The sequence below is a fragment of the Homo sapiens genome, chromosome 3 (genome assembly GCF_000001405.40).
Source record: "Homo sapiens chromosome 3, GRCh38.p14 Primary Assembly".
NCBI lineage: Eukaryota > Metazoa > Chordata > Mammalia > Primates > Hominidae > Homo > Homo sapiens.
The window spans coordinates 40625501-40648680 of NC_000003.12; the positions used below are offsets into that span (position 1 = coordinate 40625501).

The following is a 23180-nucleotide window of genomic DNA, read 5'->3' on the forward strand; positions in this document are numbered from 1 at the left end:
AAAGTAGAAAGATATCTGAAAAATGCAACTTGGGGGCATCAATGAGCCCTGAACTGCTACCTTAGATTACCACGCCTCCGCCTTTTTTTGTGTTTCTCTGCTGACATCAAGAAATGACTACAGCAGCCCAGAATGGTGGGGGACACAGGAGACATCTGGAGGATGTCCAGTTGGTGAAGAAAACCTGGGATCTCACACTAGGACCACAACGTACTATGGATTATTTTTATATGTTGCATAAATGTGGAAGGATAATTTTTCAAAAATGTAAACTGATGTTTATATTTTTAGTTCCCTCATTTTTACCATCGTGTCTCTCCTGCCCCCCTACTTTTCAAGAAACTAGGAGGCAATCCTGAGAAAATTGTTTCAGGAGAAAAAGTGACAGCCAGAAAGTGGAATGTAGCCTGAAAGTTTCTTCCTGAATTTGGGCCCTGAAACTGGAGTTCTCAGAAGAGGAAAAGGACCCTGGGCATAGACAGAATGCTTAGGAGACATACCACGAAGGAGAGTAGAGTGTTTGAGGAGAAGAGGCTTCTCCCAGGGTTGGGGAGGAGGAGAGCCAGACAGAAAGTATGAAAGCACAGGTTCTTGTGGCCCTAGAGAGAGAGATCCCAGTTGTAGCTTCTCAATCAATGGAGCATCAGGGAGGCAGCTGAAGCCAACACAGGCTGGTGAGATCTGAGAGTGGAGTTCTATGCTGTTTCCTCTGTGGAGTCCTGGGGAGGTGGGGCATGTGGCATGTGGAAACAACCTGACAGAGAGATTCTGTTGTCCTTCCCATTCCATGTAGCATGGCATAGAAATAGGGAATAGAAACAGGTTTGGGGGTCTGAGGGAGTTATAGGACAGGAACAAGGAACAACTCAAAAAAACAACTTATACAGACTGGTGAATGGGGACGATGGGATGAGGACTTCTTATCTGATACCTAAGGGGACAGGTGACTTGCTGATCAGTTGTTCAGTCCCATCCTGCCCTTGCTATGCCTTGGACCTCTGGATGTTCTTAGGAATTTAAACTGTACTAGTTACAGTTTCCCTGAAAGCAGAGTCTGAGACAAGCATTCATGTGCAAGTAGTTTATTTGGGAGGAGTTCCCAGGAGGAGTTCCAAGGAGGAGTCAGGGAGTGGGATGAGGGACTGAGGGAAGGAGGATAAGTCAATAAAGGAGGCATTCATGAGGAAGTTATCACTGTGAGCAACTGGAGCTCAGTTTCTCTGGGAATCCTCTGAAGAATGAGCCTCAAAAATTGTCCTCCCAGAGAATAAGGAGGCTAGGATACATTGTCACTGAGGCAGCAAAGCACAGATGCATGGCAGCATGTGCTTGACTTAGGTGCAAACAGCATGCCTGTCTTCCACAACTGGGCTGAAACCAGATGCTTGAGGGGCCTTGGTGTGGAGCATCCCAAGAGCCTATTGCACAACCCTGGGAAGGGCAGAGTCAAGCCATTGCCTGAGTTTAAGTTATCATCACCATGGTGGAATGAGCTTGGAAGATAAATTAAATGGGGTAAAAGAAAACTAAAGAAAGTTATATTTGTGACACATCTGTGTTTCTAAATTGAGATTTTATGTTTGCTTTATAAAAAATATTAAGACTAATGTCAGTTCCATATAATGGGATGAATATACATTTTAGAGTCAGACCAGCATTGGATTTGAATTCAGATTCTGTCACTTACTAGCTGGGTGACTGTGGGTTTATCATGTCACCTCTCTGATTTCTGATCCTGCATGTGTCAAACCAAGAAGTTTGCTGAGGGGTTAACAGTGACTCGTGAAAGTCCCAGTGATGAGTTCATATGCATCATTTTACTAAACCTTAGTTAGTTTCCTTTATATGGTATAGGTCCACTCACTATTAAGAGAATATTGTCATTCAAAAAGTTCTTAGTAAAGCTATTTCTTCTGTTGTAAACAGATTTAAATGGGGGTGAACCCAGGTGACATTGTCTTCAGGGCCCTGGAGCCTGGGACAGCTGTACCTGGCCACTCAGAGACTAGCATTTTGTTATTTTTCTCTCCAAGCATGACACATATTGCACATGGGCTCATTTTCCTAAATCACCTTTGCAAATTAAGCATCTTACTTTGCTACTTGTTTTTGGGTTGGAAGCAGTATAGTAGAGAAATTCTCTTCCTTTCTCCTTTCCAACGTCCCCTACCACAAGTCACTAAAGTCTGAATGTTTTTCAGTTCATTGCTACAAGTGGTGAGAAAAGCATCAGTATTTGCAAATGCCAAATGATACAGCTTCAATGGAGGATATACAAAGCAGTGAGGTAGCAGCGCTGCCTGGTGTGCAGTTGTCCTTGAAAACCAATGGACTCAGTGGAGACTCCTGCAGACAAAATGTCTGCCCTCCTCAGAGGGCTAAACTGGAGCACATTGCAGTTCTCTGAGCTTGAAGGAAGGTATGGACTGTGGAGCACATGATGCTGCTCTAGACTCCCTTTTTCTCCCGAGGTTCCCAGCAAAGTGGTCTTTGCTGCAGTGGGCAGCACCCACTTTGGGACCCCCAGATTGACATTTCAGTATCTGAGCACACTTGGAATCCTCAATGGCCCCTCTTCACTCACATTGCAAGCCTCAGGCATGCTATGGAAAGTCCTCAAGGCTCAGGTCCTAAACCTGGCTAGGCATCTGATATGGTTTGGCTCTGTGTCCCCACCCAAATCTCATCTGGAATTATAATCCCTATGTGCCTAGGGAGGACCTGCGGGGAGTTGATTGGATTATAGGCACAGTTTCCCCCCTGCTGTCCTCCTAATAGAGTTCTCATGAAATCTGGTTGTTTGATAAGTGTGTGGCTCCTCCCTAGCCTCCCCCTCTTTCTGCCTTGTGAAGTAGGTGCTTGCTTCTCCTTCACCTTCCACCATGATTATAAGTTTCCTGAGGCCTCCTCAGCCATACAAAACTGGATCAATTGAACCTCTTTTATTTATAAATTATCAAGTATCTTTATAACAGTGTGAAAATGGACTAATACAGAGAATTGGTACCCGGGGCACTGCTATAAAGATACCTAAAAATGTGGAAGCAACTTTGGAACTGGGTAACAGGCAGAGGTAGGAACAGTTTGGAGGGCTCAGAAGAAGATAGGAAGATGTGGGAAAGTTTAGAACTTCCTAGAGACTTGTTGAATGGTTTTGACTGAATTGCTGATAGTGATATGGACAATGAAGTCCAGGCTGAGGTGGTCTCAGATGGAGATGAGGAACTTATTGGGAACTGAAGCAAAGGTGACTCATGGTATGCTTTAGCAAAGAGAATGGTGGCATTTTGCCCCTGCTCTAGAGATCTGTTGAACTTTGAACTTGAGAGAGATGACTTAGGGCATCTGGCATATGAAATTCCTAGGTAGCAAGGCATTCAAGATGTGACCTGGCTTTTCCTGAAAGTGTACAGTTGTATGTGCTCACAAAGAGATGGTTTGAAATGGTAACTTACGTTTAAAAGGGAAGTAGAGCATAAAAGTTTGGAAAATTTGTAGCCTGACCTTGTGGTAGAAAAGAAAAACGCATTTTCTTGGGAGAAATTCAAGTCTGCTGCAGAAATTTGCATAAGTAACGAGAAGACAAATGTTAATAGCTGAGACAATGGGGAAAATGTCTTCAGAACATTTCAGAGATCTTCACAGCAGCCTCTCCTATCACAGGCCCAGAGGCCTAGGAGGGAAAAATGGTTTCTTGAGTTGGGCCCAGGGCTGCTCTGTGCAGCCTTGGGACATGGTGCCCTGCATCCTAGCTTCTCCAGCTCTAGTCATGACTTAAAGGGGCCTAGGTACAGCTTGGGCTGTGGCTTCAGAGGGTGCAAGCCCCAAGTCTTGGTGGCTTCCGTGTGGTGTTGGTCCTGCAGGTGCACAGAAGACAAGAGTTGAGCTTTGGGAGCCTCTGCCTAGATTTCAGAGGATGTATGGAAATGCCTGGATGTCCAAGAAGAAGTCTGCTGCAGGGGCAAAGTCTTCATGGAGATCTTCTACTAGGGCAATGCAAAGGGGAAATGTGGGGTTGGACCCTCCACACAGAGTCCCCACTGGGGTGCTGCCTAGTGGAGCTGTGAGAAGAGGGCCACCATCCTCCAGACCCCAGAATGGCAGATTCACTGACAGCTTGTACTGTGTGCCTGGAAAAGTGGCAGGCACTCAACATCAGCCCATGAAAGCAATTGTGGGCACTGTACCCTGTAGAGCCACAGGGGTGGAGCTGTCCAAGGCCTTTGGAGCCCACCTCTTGTATCAGTGTGCCCTGAATGTGAGACATGAAGTCAAAGGAGATTAGTTTGGAGCTTTAAGATTTAATGACTGCCTGGCTAGGTTTTGGATTTGCATGGAACCTGTGGCTTCTTGTTTTGGCCAATTTCTCCCATTTGGAATGGAAACATTTATCCAATGCCTGTACCCCCATTGTATCTTGGAAGTAACTAACTTTGTTTTTGATTTTACAGGCTCATAGGCGAAAGGGACTTGCCTTGTCTCAGATGAGACTTTGGATTTGGACTTTTGAGTTAATGCTGGAATGAGTTAAAACTTTGGGGGACTATTGGGAAGACATGACTGGTTTTAAAATGTGAAAAGGACATGAAATTTTGGAGGGGCCGAGGGTGGAATGATATGGTTTGGCTCTGTGTCCCAACCCAAATCTCATCTCCAATTGTAATTTCCACATGTCAAGGGAGGAACATGGGGATAGGTGATTGGATCGTGGGGGCGATTTCCACTATGCTGTTCTTGTGATAGAGTTCTCACGAGATTTCATTGTTTGGTAAGTGTGTGGCTCTTCCCTGTGCCCCACCTCCTGCTGCCTTGTGAAGAAGGTCCTTGCTTCTCCTTTGCATTCCACCGTGATTGTAAGTTTCCTGAGGTCTCCCCAGCCATGCAGAACTGTGGATCAATTAAATCTCTTTTCTTTATAAGTTATCCAGTCTCAGGTGGTATCTTTATAGCAGTGTGAAAACACCTAATTTCTTACTTATCTTCTTAGCCCAATTACCCTGGTCTGTTGTCCTCAGTTTTCATTCCACCTTGAGCTTGCCTCTCTGCTCAGTTCTCTGGTGAAATATCTATTTGGCTTTTAGAGTTTCTTTTCACCTTTAGATGCTTTTTCTTAGCTGGACTACCTAGGCTTTTTGTTTTGAGGGCAGAGTTTATCTCACTCTGTCAATCACAATGTATACCAGCCAGTTTTAATGACAATGATACAGCATAAGAAACAGCACACATTGATTGTTTTTGCTTATTGCTCTGTGGGACGGTGAATGTGTCCCTGTTTCTGACTGTGGGTTGCTGGGGGCTCCTCCTTCTGATACTAGAGGCTCCTGGAAACATCTCCTTCTCATGTCAGATGGCAGAGGCTCAAGAAGCCAAGCCAGGCAAAGCAAGCACATTTAAAGTCCCTGCTCACTTCATAGTCATACAAAGAAAACGACAGATAGGCAGATAGGAGGCAGGACTAACTTGCAGCTTCCACTTGGATTGACAGAGCAGCGTGTGGAGACTCACATCAAGAACTTTTGCTCCAAGAACTACTGCAGGAACATACAGGAAAGCCGGAGAATCCATAGACCCTTTGAAGAAAGCAGATTGCTGCTGCAGGCCCCAGGAGACAGCTGAAAAACTGTGAGTGCTCAAAGTGTGAAAGTGTGAAAGGGGGATCACCCGTCCCTGAGCACACACACTCAATGGGGTACCTGAAGGTCCAGATCATGGGATAAGGATTTGAACTTACCTGGAGCTGAGACAAATTTAGAAAGCTGAGTGAAATGTAGGGGTAGAAGAAGCAACAAGAAGATCCCTGTGGGCACTCTTGCTCCCCAGGAAAGCCATTTCTGACTTTATCTCACCGCGATCCTTGGGGAAGGCTGCCAGAGGAACTGGGAAAAGACCACAAGGAGAAGAAAACTTCCAGCTGAACTTTGTAACAATTTCAATGCAACGCAAAGTTTTCTGGACAGAATCTCAGGGACATGGTGAACCAGGAGTGTAGACACAACATAGAAGCTGCAGCAGGAGTGGAAGTGTAAAACCTGAAAGCCCTGTTTGCTTTCTCAGCTGGGAGGCTGGTAGCCTAAGGCAAGTTCTCAGCCCTGATTATCTGCTGCCGGGAAATAAACTCAGTGCTGTTGGGGGGACGTGGTGGGAGTAAGACCAGCCTTTTGGGCTGTGTGGGAGCTGGGTGAGGCCTGTAACTGCTGTTCCCCCCCACTTCCCTGGCAACCTGCATGACACAGCAGAGGCAGCCATAATCCTCTGGGAATATAACTCCATTGGCCTGTGAACCACACCCCCATCTCCCACAGCAGCTGCAGCAAACCCCACCCAAGGAGTGTCTGAGTTCAGACATGCCTAACCCTGCCCCCATCTGACAGACTTTTTCTACCTGCTCTGGTAGCCAAAGACAAGGGACATAATCTCTTGGGAGCTCTATGGCTCTGCCCACTGCCTGATCCTTCCTATACTACTGCAGCTCATGCTCTCCTGAAAGCACCACTTCCTAAATGGAGGCCAACCAACACAAAACTAGTGCAATAAACAAAACTACAATGAAGGACCCTCACAGAGTCCACTTCACTCCCCTGTTACCTCCAATGGACCAGGTGCTGGTATCCACAGCTGAGAGACCTGAAGATGGTTCACATCACAGGACTCTGCACAGACACTCCCCAGTACCAGCCCAGAACCCTGTAGCTCCTCTGAATATCTAGATCCAGAAGAGAAATAACAATCACTGCAGTTCAGCTCTCAGGAAGCCACATCCCTAGGGGAAGAGGGAGAACACCTTATCAAGGGAAAACCTCATGGGACAAAAGAATCTTAACAGCAACCCTTGTGTACCAGATCTTCCCTCTGACCTAGTCTACCTAAAAGAGACACTACCAGAAAAATTCTGGTAATATGACAAAACAAAGTTCTTTAACACCCCCAAAAGATTATACTAGCTCACCAGCAATGGATCCAAACCAAGAAGAATTCTCTGAATTGCCAGAAAAATAATTCAGGAAGGTTAATTATATAGCTGATCAAGGAGGCACAAGAGAAAGGTGAAGTCCAACTTAATGAAATAAAAAAAGATACAAGATATGAAGGGAAAAATCTTCAGTGAAATAGCATAAATAAAAAACAATCACAGCTTCTGGAAATGAAAGACACACTTAGAGAAATGCCAAATACACTGGAAAGTCTCAGCAATAGAATAAAACAAGTAGAAGAAGGAACTTCAGAGCTTAAAGACAAGGCTTTTGAATTAACTCAATCCAACAAAGACAAAGAAAAAAAGGAATAAAAATAAAAGAACAAAGCCTCCAAGAAGTTTGGAATTATGTTAAATGACCAAACCTAAGAATAATGGTGTTCTTGAGGAAGAAGAAAAATCTAAAAGTTTGGAAAACATATTTGAGGGAATAATTGAGGAAGACTTCCCTGGCTTTGCTAGAGATCTAGACATCCAAATACAAGAAGCTCAAAGAACATCTGGGAAACTTATTGCAAAAAGTTTATCACCTAGGCACGTAGTCATCACGCTTCTAAAGTGAAGACGAAGGAAAGAATCTTAAGAGCTGTGAGGCAAAAGCACCAGGTAACCTATAAAGGAAAATCTATCAGATTAACAGAAGATTTATCAGCAGAAACCCTACAAGCTAGAAGGGATTGGGGCCATATCTTTAGCCTCCTTAAACAAAATAATTATCAGTCGAGAATTTAGTTTCTAGTGAAACTAAGTTTCATAAATAAAGGGAAGATACAGTCTTTTTCAGACAAACAAATGCTGAGAGGGTTTGCCACTACCAAGCCAGCACTACAAGAACTACTAAAAGAGCCTCTAAATCTTGAAACTAATTCTCTAAATACACCAAAATAAAACCTCCTTAAAGCATAAATCTCACAGGACCTGTAAAACAAAAACATAATTAAAAAAAAAACCCAAGGCATTCAGGCAACTAATAGCATGATAAATGGGATAGTACCACACATCTCAATACTAACATTGAATGTAAGTGGCCTAAATGCTCCACTTAAAAGGTACAGAATGTCAGAATGGATAAGAATTCACCAACCAAGTATCTGCTGTCTTCAAGAGACTCACCTAACACATAAGGACTCACATAAACTTAAGGTAAAGGAGTGGAAAAAGATATTCCATGCAAATAGACACCAAAAGTGAGCAGGTGTAGTTATTTTTATATCGGACAAAACAAACTTTAAAGCAAGAGCAGTTAAAGAAGACAAAGAGGGACATTATATAATGATAAAAGGACTTGCCCAACAGGAAAATATCACAATCCTAAATATATATGTATTTAACACTGGAGCTCCCAAATTTATAAAACGATTACTACTAGGCCTAAGAAATGAGATAGATGGCAACACAATAATAGTGGGAGACTTCAATACTCTACTGACAGCACTTGACATGTCATCAAGAAAGAAAGTCAACAAAGAAACAATGAATTTAAACACTACCCTAGAACAAATGGACTTAACAGATATTTACAGAACATTCTACCCAACAACTGCAGAATATATGTTCTATTCATCAGCACATGGAACATTCTCCAAGATAGACCATATAACAGGCCACAAAACAGGTTTCAATAAATTTAAGAAAATTGAAATTATATCAAGTACTCTCCCAGACCACAGTGGGATAAAACTGGAAATCAACCCCACCTAAAGGAACCCTGAAAACCATGCAAATACATGGAAATTAAATAATCCGCTTCTGAATGATCTTTGGGTCAACAATGAAATCAAGATGGAAATTTAAAAATTTCTTTGAACTGAATGATGATAGTGACACAACCTATCAAAACCTCTGGGATACAGCAAAGGCAGTGCTAACAGGAAAGTTCATAGCCTTAAATGCCTATATCAAAAAGTCTGAAAGAGCTCAAGTGGACAATCTAAGGTCACACCTCAAGGAACTAGAGAAATGAGAACAAACCAAACCCAAGCCCAGCAGAAGAAAAGAAATAATGAAGATCAGAGCAGAACTAAATGAAATTAAAACAAAAAAATACAAAAGATAAATAAATCACAAAGCTGGTTCTGTGAAAAGATAAACAAAATTGGTAGACCATTAGCAAGATTAAGCAAGAAAGGAAGAGAGAAGATCCAAATAAGCTCGATTAGAAAAGAAACAGGAGATATTACAACTAATACCACAGAAATACAAAAGATTATTCAAGGCTACCATGAACACCTTTACATGCATAAACTAGAAAACATGGAGGAGATGGATAAATTCCTGGAAATATACAACCCTCCTAGTTTAAACCAGGAAAAAGTAAAAACTTGAAATGGTAATAAAAAATATTGCCAACAAAAAAAGTCCAGGACCAGACAGATTCACAGCTGAATTTTATCTGACATTCAAAGAATTGGTACCAATCCTATTGACACTATTCCACAAGATAGAGAAAGAGGGAATCCTCCCTAAATCATTCTATGAAGCCAGCAACACCCTAATAACAAAACCAGGAAAAGACATAACAAAAAAAGAAAACTACAGACCAATATTCCTGATAAACATAGATGTAAAAATCCTTAACAAAACACTAGCTAAATGAATCCAACAGCATATCAAAAAGATAACCCACCATGATCAAATGGGTTTCATACCAGGGATGCAGGGATGGTTTACCATATGCAAATCAGGTCAGGCACGGTGGCTCATGCCTGTAATCCCAGCCCTTTGGGAGGCCGAGGTGGGTGGATTACCTGAGGTCAGGAGTTCGAGACCAGCCTGGCCAACATATTGAAACCCCATCTCTACTAAAAATACAAAAAATTAGCTGGGCATGGTGGTGGGCACCTGTAATCCCAGCTACTCAGGAGGCTGAGGCAGGAGAATTGCTTGAACCTGAGAGGCGGAAATTGCAGTCAGCCGAGATCGCACCATTGCATTCCAGCCTGGGCTACAGAGTGAGACTCTGTCAAAAACAAAACAAACAAACAAACAAACAAACAAACCACAGTGGCAAATCAATAAATGTGATACACCACATAAACAGAATTAAAAACAAAAATCAAATGATCATCTCAATGGACACAGAAAATGCATTTGACAAAATCCAGCATCCTTTTATGATTAAAACCCTCAGCAAAATTGGCTTAGAAGGGACATACCTCAAGATGATAAAAGCCATCTATGACAAACCCACAGCCAACACTATACTGAACAGGGAAAAGTTAAAAGCATTATCTCTGAGAAGTGGAACCAAAACAATGATGCCCACTTTCACCACTTCTATTCAACATAGTACTGGAAGTCCTAGCCAGAGCAATCAGACAAAAGAAAGAAATAAAGGGCATCCAAATCCTTAAAGAGGAAGTCAAGTTATTGCTGTTGGCTGATGATATGATCATATACCTAAAAAACCCTGAAGACTCTTCCTAAAAGCTCCTAGAACTGATTAATCAATTCTGCAAAGTTTCAGGATACAAAATTAATGTACACAAATCAGTAGCTCTGCTATATGCCAACAGTGATCAAACTGAGAATCAAATCAAGAACTCAACCCCCTTTACAATCCCTGTAAATAAATAAATAAATAAAAGACTTAGGATATACCTAACCAAGTAGGTAAAATAACTCTACAATGAAAACTACAAAACATTGCTGAAGGAAATCATGGATAACACAAACAAATGGAAACACATCCCATGTGCAAGGATGGGTAGCATCAATATTGTGAAAATGAACAGACTGCTGAAAGCAGTCTACAAATTCAATGCAATTCCCATCTAAATACCACCATAATTCTTTGCAGGGTTAGAAAAAACAATTATAAAATGCATATGGAACCAAAAAAGAGCCCACATAGCCAAAGCAAGACGAAGCAAAAAGTACAAAGCTGGAAACATCACATTATCTGATTTCAAACTATACTACAAGGCCATAGTCACCAAAACAGCATGGTACTGGTACAGAAATAGGCACATAGACCAATGGAACAGAATACGGAATCCAGAAATAAAGCCAAATGCTTACAGCTGACTGATCTTTGACCAAGCAAACAAAAGCATAAAGTGGGGAAAGGACACCCTGTTCAACAAATGGTGCTGGGATAATTGGCAAGCCATATGTAGAAGAGTGAAACTGGATCCTCATCTCTCGCCTTATACAAAAATCAACTCAAGATGGATAAAAACCTTAAATCTAAGACCTGAAACCATACAAATTCTAGAAGATAACATTGGAAAAACACTTCTAGACATTGGCTTAGGCAAAGACTTCATGACCAAGAACCCAAAAGCAAAAATGAAGATAAATAGATGGAACTTAATCAAACTAGAAAGCTTCTGCACAGCAAAAGAGACAATTAGCTGAGTCAACAGACAACCCACAGAGTGGGAGAAAATCTTTGCAATATATATCTGACAAAGGACTAATATCCAGAATCTACAAGGAACTCAAACAAATCAGCAAGAGCAAACCTTGACATGAATAGACAATTCTCAAAAGAAGATAAACAAATGGCCAATAAACATACGAAAAAATGCTCAACATCACTAATGATCAGGGAAATGTAAATCAAAACCACAATGTGATACCACCTCACTCCTGCAAGAATGGTCATAATAAAAAAATAATAGATGGTGGCGTGGATGTGGTGAAAAGGGAACACTTTTACACTGTTGGTGGGAATGTAAACTACTACAACCACTATGGAAAACAGTGTGGAGATTCCTTAAAGAACTAAAAGTAGAACTACCATTTAATCCAGCAATCTCACTCCAGGGTATCTACCCAGGAGAAAAGAAATCATTATACAAAAAAGATACTTGCACATGCATGTTTATAGCAGCACAATTCGCAATTGCAAAAATATGGAACCAGCCCAAATGTCCATCAATCAATCAGTGGATAAAGAAATTGTGGTATATATGTATACCATGTAATACTACTCAGCCATAAAAAGGAATGAAATAATGATATTTGCAGCAACCTGGATGGAATTGGAGACCATTATTCTAAGTGAAGTAACTCAGGAATGGAAAACCAAACATCATATATTCTCACTCATAAGTGGGAGCTAAACTATGAGGATGCAAAGGCATAAGTATGATACAATGGATTTTGGGGACTTGGAGGAAAGGGTGAGAGGGGTGTGAGGGATAAAAAGCTACACATTGGGTGTAGTGTACACACTGTTTGGGTGATGGGTGCACCAAAATCTCAGAAATCACCACTAAAGAACTTATTAATGTAACCAAACGTCACCTGTTCCCCAAAAACCTATTGAAATAAAAAAAATAAAGCCCCTGCTCACTTCATATCCACTGACATTCCACTGGGCAAAGCAAGTCACACAGCTAATGCATTGTCAGTGGTGTGAAGACGTACACTCTGCTTCTTTTAGACACTGCAGAGTCACATGGGGCACTGCAGAGTCATGTGGCAAAGGACGTGATGGGGTCAGGGAAGAGTTGGAAAGGTAATCCAACTTACCACACTATGCCAGGCCCCATGGTCTGGGCAGCCTCTGGGCAGCCTGGGACAGCCAAACATCTGACTGTTAAAGAGATAAATTACCCTTGGTGGTGAATCATCTTTCTGTGAATTACCAAAAGATGTCTTTTGTGGCAGGTTAATTATCAAAGGTGCCCCTTCCTTTAGAATAACACAGTCCCTAGTCTGGGTGTTTGGCTTGGCAAGCAGAGTACAGTCTGGAACTCAGCCTCCACTTGCTCCCTGGGTGGGTCACGTAGTGCAGGGGATGCTGCAGTCTGTGTGCTGTGACCCTGTGCACACCCAGCCAGTGGTTTATAGGGCCTAGGAAAGTACCTTTGTCATGACTGACTCTAAGCTATGCAGGTTGGAGCAGTCTGGGATAGCTTTTTTGTTGTTGTTGTTTTTGTTTTTGTTTTTGTTTTTTTTTGATAGACCCAAGTTAAAAGGCTTATTATTATTATTATTTTTTACTTCACTTTTAGAGAAGAAATGGGAATTTTTTCCTTTTCAAAAGTCACCTTGCCTGTCAACCACATAGGCCAAAGCTAATGTAGAAGAAACTGATGGCTGTGGAACCTCCCTAATTGTAGAGTAGCACACATGTCTTTGAAGAAAGGCCCTGTTCTTCTTTCCCTGGGAATGACCACATAACCTGCAATTACCCTCGCCTTCTAACGTCAGAGGAAATGCCACACCTCTTCACATAACAGTAATAACTGAGTCTGACCATGCAGGAGGCTCCTGAGTGCCATGGTCCGCATTGACTGGTTCTGCAGTGTAGAGGAAGTGGGCAGTGTGCTCCATCACTGTCCTACAGTTTTTGTGGTGGCCAGATGAGGTCACAAGGTGTCATTCTCACCTTCGTCCTGCCCACTTATCAGAAATCTAACAAATAGATTGGAACTCCGGAGTCCCTATAGGCATGGCTTCTGTTTGGGTTGGGAGGTGAGACTCAGGCTTTGGTCCAAGGGATTATTGGCCCCAAATCCTTTACCCTATTCTACCTCCTCACCCTTGACATAGCCTCTTTGTGGGTAGTTCCCCACCCCTTGACTTTGACCAATGATACATGGGCAGAAGCGAGGATGTGTCACTTCCAAGCCTAGGCCTTAAGAGGCCTTGGATGTTCCTGCTTTTTCTCTGTGCCTCAGAGAGGCACCCCTGGGTAACAACATTCCCCTTAGTCTGGTCCTGGGAGTGGATACTTGTGGAGTAGATATGAGCCAAACCTCAATGAGAGCCAAGACCAGCTACACTCACAGTTTGAGGCAGAGCCACTCAGCCAAACCCAGTCTCATCAGCCAACCTCCTGCTGACCCCTAGACACATAGGCCCACAGATCTGTGGATGCATAAATGAAAATGCATGATTGTTACTAAGGTTTGGGGTGATTTGTTATATAGCATTATTGCAGCAACAATTAACTGATACATTTGTTTTTTAGTAGATTGCCACAGTATATTGACCTTGGATGCCAGCCATGGCTGGGGCACAGGAAGCGCCCCAGCAGAGAAGCCACTCTCTTTTTGACTTCAGGGACAGGATCTGCATGAAGGAGAAAGTGTGTGACTCAATTAAGATACAATTAAGATCCTCCTCCATGGTCTCCCTTTTATCTAGTGTCCTCATTATCCTGGTTTCTTTTCTTCTTGCTGTGGGGATGGCACTGCCGTTGCATGCTGATGAGCATGTCTGTGGCCCAACTTCTGAACTAGAGATTTCTGAGTAATTAATTTGGATTTAAGCTTCTCTAGCCAGCCCTTGATAGACCCAAGATTGAGTGCATTGGAAGGCATTGATTTCTCCTCGGCATTTTTTTGGTGCTTAGAGGTCAAGAGTCCATTTGGTACCTGCCTATCTAAAGTGAGTTTCAAAGTGAGTTTTGAAAAATATGCCATTGTTTCAAGCAACTTGGCCTACTCCTGGGATCCCAAACCCCTCCCCAGTGCTATGAACGTTTTTGCATTTCATCTCTACCATTTTGTCACAGAGCAATTTGACCTCATGAAACTATAGAGTACTGGCTGGGCATAAGGCTTGGCTGGAGCTCAGGCAGAGTACGGGCATCTTGACACAAGGCCCTTACTAATTTGAATAGAGTGATGAGCAGGTAGAAATAAAGATGTAATTCCAAAAGACGAGTTGAGAATTCACTCAAGAACTAACAGCCCCAGTTTTGAACATTGTTGTTTGTGGATATACAATGTACTCTGATTTTTCCTATTTCCAAATCTCCTTTAAGACCTAGTCTTCCTAGATTTCATCAGATTAAGTAAAACCACTCTTGCTCTGAAATTATGCAGCGCTTACTACAATGGCTTTCAAATTTTTGCTGTGTTCCAGGGTAAGAAATGAATTTGGTGTATTAGTTCCACACATTTTTATATAAGTCTAGTTTAAAGTTTTACTCTATGTTCTCCTAGAGGTAGACCTTGAGACAAGGGCTCATATGCAAGTGGTTTATTTGGGAGATGATGCCAGGAAAGACCAGGGAAGAAGAGAAGTGAACCTGGAAAGGAAAGGGGGACATTAAAGGGTGCATTATCAACAGTTGCTTAATTTCCCTGGGAAACACTGGGAAATAGTTTTGTGGGAACCAGCCTTCAAGTTGGCCCCAGCAATCCTCGCCTACTGTATTCATACCCTTGTTTAATCCCCTCCCACACGAACCATGTGTGTGCCTTGTTTGGCCAATAGAACATGCTGTCTGTGGTCAGCAGTCCTTGAGATGGCCCCAGTTATCCCTATCTCCTGGTAGTCATACCCTTGTATAATCCCTTCCCCAAGAACATGGGCCACTTATAACCAATAATAAGCGAGTCACTTCTAGCCGATAGAATATGGTCAAGGTAATAAATGTCAATTGTGAGATTAGGTTACAGAAAGACCCTGGTTTTCTTCTTGTTTGTGCTCTCTTGGTCTTTTCCTCACTGGATCCGAGGAAAAACCAGCCACCGTTTTGTGAACTGCCCTATGGAGAGACCCATGTGGTGGAGGAAGTGAGGCTGCCAACAGCCAGGGGAGTGAGCCTAGAAGTAGATCCTCCCTTAGTTGAGCCTTGAGATGCCTGCAGCCTCAGCCAGCACCTTGAGAGAGAGCCTGCAGCCTCAAGAGAAACCTTGAATCAGAGGCACCTAGATAAGCTGTCTCCAGATTTCCTGACCCCTAGAAATTATGAGTTAATCATTTTTTAAAGCTGCCAAGTCTTGGGGTAATTTGTTTTGTAGCAATAGATAATCAATGCAGTATCTGACTTTTGAGGCTAGGTCATAAAAGACATTGCTCTTCCCACTTCGATCTCTCTTTCTCTTGGATTACCAGCCCTGGGGGAAGCCAGTCACAGATCATGAGGAGACTCAAAATGTCCTATGGAGAGGTCCATGTGGTCATGAGCTGAGGCCTCTTGCCAACAGCCAGCACCAACTTGCCAGATACGTGAATAAGCCATCTTGGAAGCAGATCGTTCAGTGCCGTCAAGTCTTTGGTTGGCTGCAGCCCCAGAAGACATCTTGACTACAATCTCATGAGCAATCTGGACCCAGAACCACCAAATTAAGTTGCTCCTTAATTTCTGACCCAAGGAAAGTGTAAAATAGTGAAGTTATTGTTATATTAAGCTGCCATATTTTGGGCGTAAATTGTTTTGCACCAAAAAATAATGAATGTAGCATAGAACAAGAGACTCAGAGTTATCCTACCTAAGTAGAGGAGCTGGGGTATTTATACACCAATACCCATCTATCAATGGATGAGAGCTGTTTCTAGGGTCTATTAATTCTCCAGCAGTTCCCTGTGGGCACAGAGGGCTTCAGTGGCCAGAAGAAGCCTGCAGGCAAAGAGATCCAGATGTCGGCAGTTGGAAGTCAGGCCTGGGTGTACCGAAAAGTAAGGGTGAGGGGATATGGGATGGGTTGCTCACGGGACTTGCTAACTTGCAAACTCAGTTGAAATTTCATCTACATCACTTCCCTCCTCCCAGGCAAGCTTGGAGTACCTACTCCTTCTTTAGGGCTTGGTCCCTCCAGGGTGGTTTTCTGGTAGAAGGAAGAGGAAAAGGACAAGCATCTCTTTATATAACTGTGCCCATCTCTGATGTTCCCTTTGTTGGATGGTGGTGGTTCTTGGGCCAGCAATGACTGGTTGTTGATGCCCTCTGTGGCAGGAGTTCAAAGGCTAGACCTCCTTGCAGTGTGCGTGTCTAGATTTTCTGAATGGCCCTGTGTCAATTCCCTGATGGATATTCACCTCTTCAACTTCCACTCAGCTTTCACTACTGCCTCCCTTTGACTGGTGGGCAGCCCTGTTGGGTGGAGTAGAGGCAAGATAAGTCAAGTGCAGCCACTTTAGGTGATGTTGCTTGACTTTTGGGGGAATCACATCATCAGCCTCACCAAAATGCTGAGGTGCAGGTTGTTCTGGGCTTTTCTCTGCCATGTACCTCCTCTTCAGGAGTATGCCCTGCTAGGGTGGACACAGGACACAGGGCATTCCCATCTTGCAGTAATCTCAGATCTTTACCACTGATACAGAGCCCTTTCCATTGTCTTCTAAATGGGAACAGCACTCACACCTCTCGGGAGGAATCATTTCTCATCCAGCACTACTTTCCAGTTGGTGACTCAGGTGTGCATCCCAGCTTCTGTTTTTGGAGCAACAGAAAAAAGTCTTGCCAAGTACCCTGTAATACAAATAAAATGCTTTCACAGTGCTGGGCAGTGGGTACTCCACGAATGTTCATTTCCTGCCTCTTCTCAGTGATGACAATGGAGGTTGCACAGGTGTGGTTGGCTTGAAGACATGAGGTTTAATACAATAGGCTCAGAGAGAGGGAAAGAAAAGAGCTCATGCATTCTTGGCTCCTAGTGCAGAGCGTAGCATGGAATGGGTGCTGTAGGTATTCACTGAAAGAATGAAAAACATAGCTGATGTAGGAGTCTTTTCAACAGAAAGCAAATGCATAGAGGCACAGAGGTCCATAGCGCCATCCTCTGGGAAGACACAGGGTGGTGGCCTTACCCTGTTCATCAGTGGCCAGCTCCTTCAGGCCAGGAACCTTTCCTTCCCAGCCTGGCTTCCGTTATTGGGCACCAAGCCGCTGCCATCCCACTTGCTTTTTTTTTCCCTGTAAAATGTGGCCATAGCCAAGTCCCTCACCATACACCCTCCCTTCCAGAGGAAGGCTGCTCAGGCTCCCTCCCCGTTCCCTTTCTTCCTTCTTTTCTTGTTCCATCCATATATTTCTGTATCTACTACAAAGGTCAGAAAAACAAATCAATGAAGAGAAGGACCCAATAATCCTAAGACCTGACTCAGGGATGGGAGGTGGCGAGGGAAGCCACTCAATAAAATGAAAGAGAATTAAAAAATTCCCTGAACAAGGCACAGCGTGGGGTCCCGATCAAAGGACCAGGCAGCTTTGGTCCTGTGTGCACGAGCTGGATGCTCTGAGGCTGGGGGAGAGATGGGCTTCCAGGCCTCGGTCTCCCTCCCTGTTTCCTTTCCATCACACACACAAAAACACATACACACACAAAAAAACACATACGCACACATTCATTCTCTCTCTCTCGCTCGCTCTCTGTCTGTCTCTCTCTCTTCTTGGACCACCATTTGTTAAGGAAACATCTGACTATGGATTTCAGGAGTCTGGGAAGCAGAGGGAAGAAGACATTGACAGCTTACTTATTTCCCTGTAGAGGTCCCATTTGCCAACGCTGCTCCCAAGATCTCCACCCACTACAAGAGAAGTACCAGGTCAAGGGTATTGATAGTGACTGAGGAACAGAACGTTACAAATCCCACCTGGAATTTTCTGAACCTACCTTGAAAGAAGGTATGAAAATAAAAGCTGGTGGATCTTAAAAGAGCTAAATCAGCTTCTAAAGTCCCTTCTTTGTGAACAGCAGCTCTTCCATGAAGTCCTTCCTGACACCTATCACTCCCTAACCCCCACGGAGCACTCTTTCCTCAGAGCATCCACTATACTCCAGTACTCTTCTACCAGAGCACCGGGGTTGCATTATCATTTCTCATTATTTGTCTGTCCCATTCTATTCTAGGAGGGTCGAGGGTAAAGCAGATCAACAGCAGACTGCCTGAGCTCAAATTGAGCCACCAGCCCTTACTGGCTGTGTCATCTTGGACAAGTAACTCAACCTTAGTTTCCCCATCTGTAAGCCTTTGTGGCTTTTCTCCTCCAGGTTCTATAGCCTCTGTTCTTCTCACAGTTTTTCATGTAACATGGCTTCCAAAAACCCCAAAAAGGTTTTTTTATTGTTTGTTTTTTGTTTTTTGTTTTTAGCAAGAACAGCATCATCAGAATAAGACTAGAAGTTCCTCACTTTGGGAAGGCTCCCTTGGATGTATATGTTCTAGCATGTTTGCTATCAAGGGACACATCACTTTATGCTTATTGTGCAGAGCTATAGAAAATATGTGGACTTCCATATATTCCTAGGTAGAGAAGGCAACATATGTGCATGTCTATGTTTATGTGCATGTTTGTGTGTGTGTGTGTATGTGTTGTGTGTGTGTGTGTGTGTATGGGTATATGTGATTCTTTCCCTGCTTGTTTCCAGAGTTTGGAGGTGGCTAGCTGATTGAAACAGAATAAAGATTATGGGAAGGATGCAGAAATAGATACTTTAAGATTTCTGAGTTGAGCAGATTAAACGTGTATGGGAAATTTGGCTTTTTTTTTTTTTTTTGAGATGGAGTCTCACTCTGTCGCCCAGGTTGGAGTGCAGCGGCACAATCTCGGCTCATTGCAAGCTCCGCCTCCCAGGTTCAAGCAATTCTCCTGTCTCAGCCTCTAGAGTAGCTGGGATTAGAGGCGCCCCGCTAATTTTTGTATTTTTAGTAGAGACAGGTTTCACCATGATGGCCAAGCTGGTTTCAAACTCCTGACCTCAAGTGATCTGCCCGCCTTGGTCTCCTAAAGTGCTAGGATTACAGGCATGAGCCACTGCACCCACCATTTGGCTGTTTTTTTGTTTGTTTGTTTGTTTGTTTGTTTTTAAGTTAAAATTCTAAAGGAAACCTTCTTGGTTACCATGTTTTATTGGGAGGAGGAAAAATGGTTTTACTTGCTGTCCCTAACTATTTCTTGCTTCCAATAGGTCAGAGAAATGGCAGCTGGATCCAGGAAGATGAGAAATTTGAGCAGGCTTAGAAGTTGGCAGCCTACAACACATTGATTTGTGTCTTTTTTTTTTTTTTCAAGCCTACCTTTTCTTTGTCTTTTTCTGATTTATAAAGCTACAAAACCAAATATAAATCTTGTATTTGTAAGCCACTTTCCACATTATTCATCTAATAACCCTCTGTGTGGCATACACATTATTTTTTCCATAAACTGAAGCACCATAGAGGGTGAGAATGACTTGTCCATTATTTGGATATACAATTTATCTATTCATTCTTTTATTGATAGACATTTCAGCTATTTACACTTAGGGACTTTTATAAATAAAGTTACTATGAACATTATTGTACAGGTCTTTTTGTGCATTTGTGTTTTCATTTTTTGCCAGGTCATATAATAGGTGAATGCTTATTAGAAATTGATCACCAGTTTTCCATAATGGTTTTTTACCAGTTTACATGCCCACAAGTGGCGTCCAAGGGTTACAGTTCACTACATCCTCATCAATGCTTGGTATTGCATCTTTGGTTTTAGCTATTCTTGTGGGTATGCAGATGTAATTCATTGTGGTTTTAATTTGTATTTCCCTGATGGCTAACAACTTTGAGCATTTTATTACATGTGACCTGGCCATTTGAATATCTTCCTCAGCACCAAAAGGAATGAACTATTGCTATTCGCAATAACATGGATTAATTTCAAGCACACTGTGTTGAGTTAAAGAATCCAGACACAAAAGAGAACCTACTGTATGATTCTATTTTTATGCAATGAAAGAAAAGACAAAGCTGATATATAGCGACAGAGGTCAGAATAGTGTCTGCCAAGGAAGATGGAGGTGTGGAGGGTGTGTTGATGAATGGGTCATTAGAGAAGTCTCTGGGGGTAATGGGAGTGCTGTTGATCTTCATCTGGGTGAAGATTACACAGGATTTGTTTCCTCTGGCTTTATGAGCTCAACCTGGTCCTGTGCCAGAACATCTCTGTGTGTGGTCACCGAAGGCCAGTGGCTGACACGCCCTGCTCCACCAGCCCAGGAGGAGGCCAGAGAAGGGGGCCTGGCAAGCCAGAGAGCCACATTCTGCCTTCTCCCATAGTATTAGCATTTGCTTCATCATATAACTAAGCAAAACCACTTCACCCAGTTGTTCATTTTGTACATTGTACAAAGTTACATGGCAGAAGAAGTGAGTAGGCACTGGAATCCAGCTGTAGGCCCTGGCAGTTTCAGATCAGAGCAGGTGCCCTTTCCTAAACATCCTCTGAGAGGGAAGCCTTTTAAAAATTTTGTAGAAAGTCATGCTTTAAGCTAGCATGGCATTGTGGCTAATGTTGGGTCATAAACAGCTGTTCGTAAGCAAAGTTTGCCTTGGTACTTGTTGAAATGGCAGTTTCTAATCACTTCGGTGGGGAGACATCTCTTCCTAAAATAGAGGCACATTTGGGGAGTTTTTTTTTTTTTTTTTTTTTTTTTTTTTTTGAAATAGAGGCTCGTTGTATTGCCCAGGCTGGGGTATAGTGGTGTAATCTCAGCTCACTGCAGCCTCCACTACTGGGCTCAAGAAATTCTTGTGCCTCAGTTGCCCACGTAGCTGGGATTATAGGCATGCACCACCGTGCCTGGCTAATTTTTTTTTTTTTTTTTGTAGAGACAGGGTTTCTTCATGTTGGCCAGACTGGTCTTGAACTCCAGGCCTTAAGCGATCTGCCTGCCTTGGCCTCCCAAAGTGCTGGGATTATAGGCGTGAGCCACAGTGCCCAGCCTTTGGGGGTATCTTTATGCTTGTTCTTTCATTCTTCTCCCATCCATCCGTCCATTCATCCATCCATCCATCCATCCAGCCAGCCAGCCAATGTTTTCTGTGTATCTAGGATGGTGCATGCTATGTACTGAGTGCTGTGCTAGCTGCCAGGGATGCAATGGCATTTTTCTTTTTATGCTCATGTCTTTGACTCCCCAGTACTTTGAAACATCTCTGGCCACAGTATGCAACATATTTTTGATTTCCTGGCTGAAGAGTACAGCTTTGCCCTTGGATGTCACATACAAGCTGGAGTAATCTTCATGAGGCAGTGTTTTCTCAGCTTCACACCATCAGCTCCTCTTTGTCTGTGGTTAAGAAAAAGTCCTGTCAGGTTGGGCTCATCTGTAGTGCTGCCTGCTCTGGTTTTTGGCCACCAGAAGACTACTTGGAGGGACTGGTGTAAACTCTTACTGCTTCTTCTAATTTAGACTCAACTAGAGAGTATTCTTGCATTCTGAAATAGGGGAAAAATGAGATGGGGTGTCATAATAATCAAAGTGATAATTCCTTACATTCGTATAGCATTTTAACTATTTCCAAATCATTCTCACATTAAATATCTTTTTCACATTAAATATCTTAACATCCAGTGATAAGGGGGTAGATGGTATTAATGTACCAGAAACTCCATTGGATTAACTGGCTAGATACTCTGCCCCACTGCCAGCTAATTAGAACTGGGTCCTAACTTCTGGTCTTTAAGGAGCCCCAACAGATAACAAGTGTCAGTCAGTTACCTTAGAATTAGCCAAGCAGTCGCAACATTCTCTTGGGATGAAGAGATTACTATTAATGCTTAGCATTCTTGTTCAACAGCACTTCTACCTAGCCGGCCTGGGAGTTAGAAGTCTAGAGAGGTGGTGGGCAGCTGGTAGCCCACTCCCATTGGGAACAGAACAAGGAGAGGAGGAATAAAAGGCTCAAGGAGACAAAGTGTCTCAATAAATACTTCTAGCTGGGTTGATAGCAGAACCAAGAATAGAATTTTAGATGATCAGATGGTACAAATTTGTCTTGTAGCAACTGACCTCATGTTGCATTGTGAGATTTTTGTTTCAAAATAAAGATTTAAGTCATTTCCTATTAACCTTTTTATAATTTCTCATCTAGAAATAGACTTTGCAGAAACAAGATGATGTCATATAAGTCAAAGAGGACCAGGCTTGAAGAGAAATAGCCCTGCTTTCTGACTGGAGTGTATGTTGTTAATATCAAGTTGGCCTGGAGAAGTTGTTAGCCAAGAAATGCTATGGTTGTACTTGGAAAGTGGGAACATTGGGAACTTACTGGAGGACTCCTCGTACTCAAACCTGGAGGGGTCTTGGAGACCTAGGTGGGTGGGCTAGAGCTGACTGGGACAGTGTAAAACCAGATGGTGCTTGGCTTTATAAGGCATGTTGATGTTCACTATAGCAGGAAAGGACCTTGAATGCGGTTATGATGGAGACTTGGAACTTGGGCATTGGCAAGTAGGTGTCCAGGATAAAGGCAGACATGGAGAAGAAATCTGAAAGGCCCTTAAGCTTTTTGGCAGAGAGAATCAGATTCTATGCTGAAAGACCTAACACAGTGCTTGGTGTTTAGTAGGCACTCAACAGATATTGGTTCCCCTAAAGATACTGGGTGGTCAAAGTTGAATAAATCCAAATAACCACAGTGCAATTCTAGGAAAACATTTGTATAAGGAGTAGCAGGATGTTTGCAATAAAAGTCAATGGCTTCTTTGTTATAAAAAATTGTGGATGTTGTTGTTGAGGTAGTGTGGGGAGGCCCA

The 23180-nt window shown here is 42.9% G+C and overlaps 1 long non-coding RNA gene across 3 annotated transcripts; it reads left to right on the forward strand.

Moving 5' to 3' along the window:
- The first annotated feature begins 2140 nt into the window (after nucleotides 1–2140).
- On the forward strand, nucleotides 2141–19945 carry LOC124906229 (uncharacterized). Of its 3 annotated transcripts, none has more exons than XR_007095880.1 (3): nucleotides 2141–2419; nucleotides 13902–18914; nucleotides 19576–19945. It is a non-coding gene; the product is annotated as an uncharacterized LOC124906229 (long non-coding RNA). The 3 variants fall into 3 exon arrangements; XR_007095882.1 differs by lacking the exon at nucleotides 19576–19945 and having other exon boundaries at nucleotides 13902–18290; nucleotides 18517–19166; XR_007095881.1 differs by lacking the exon at nucleotides 19576–19945 and having other exon boundaries at nucleotides 13902–14018; nucleotides 15779–19166.
- The last annotated feature ends 3235 nt before the right edge of the window (nucleotides 19946–23180 follow it).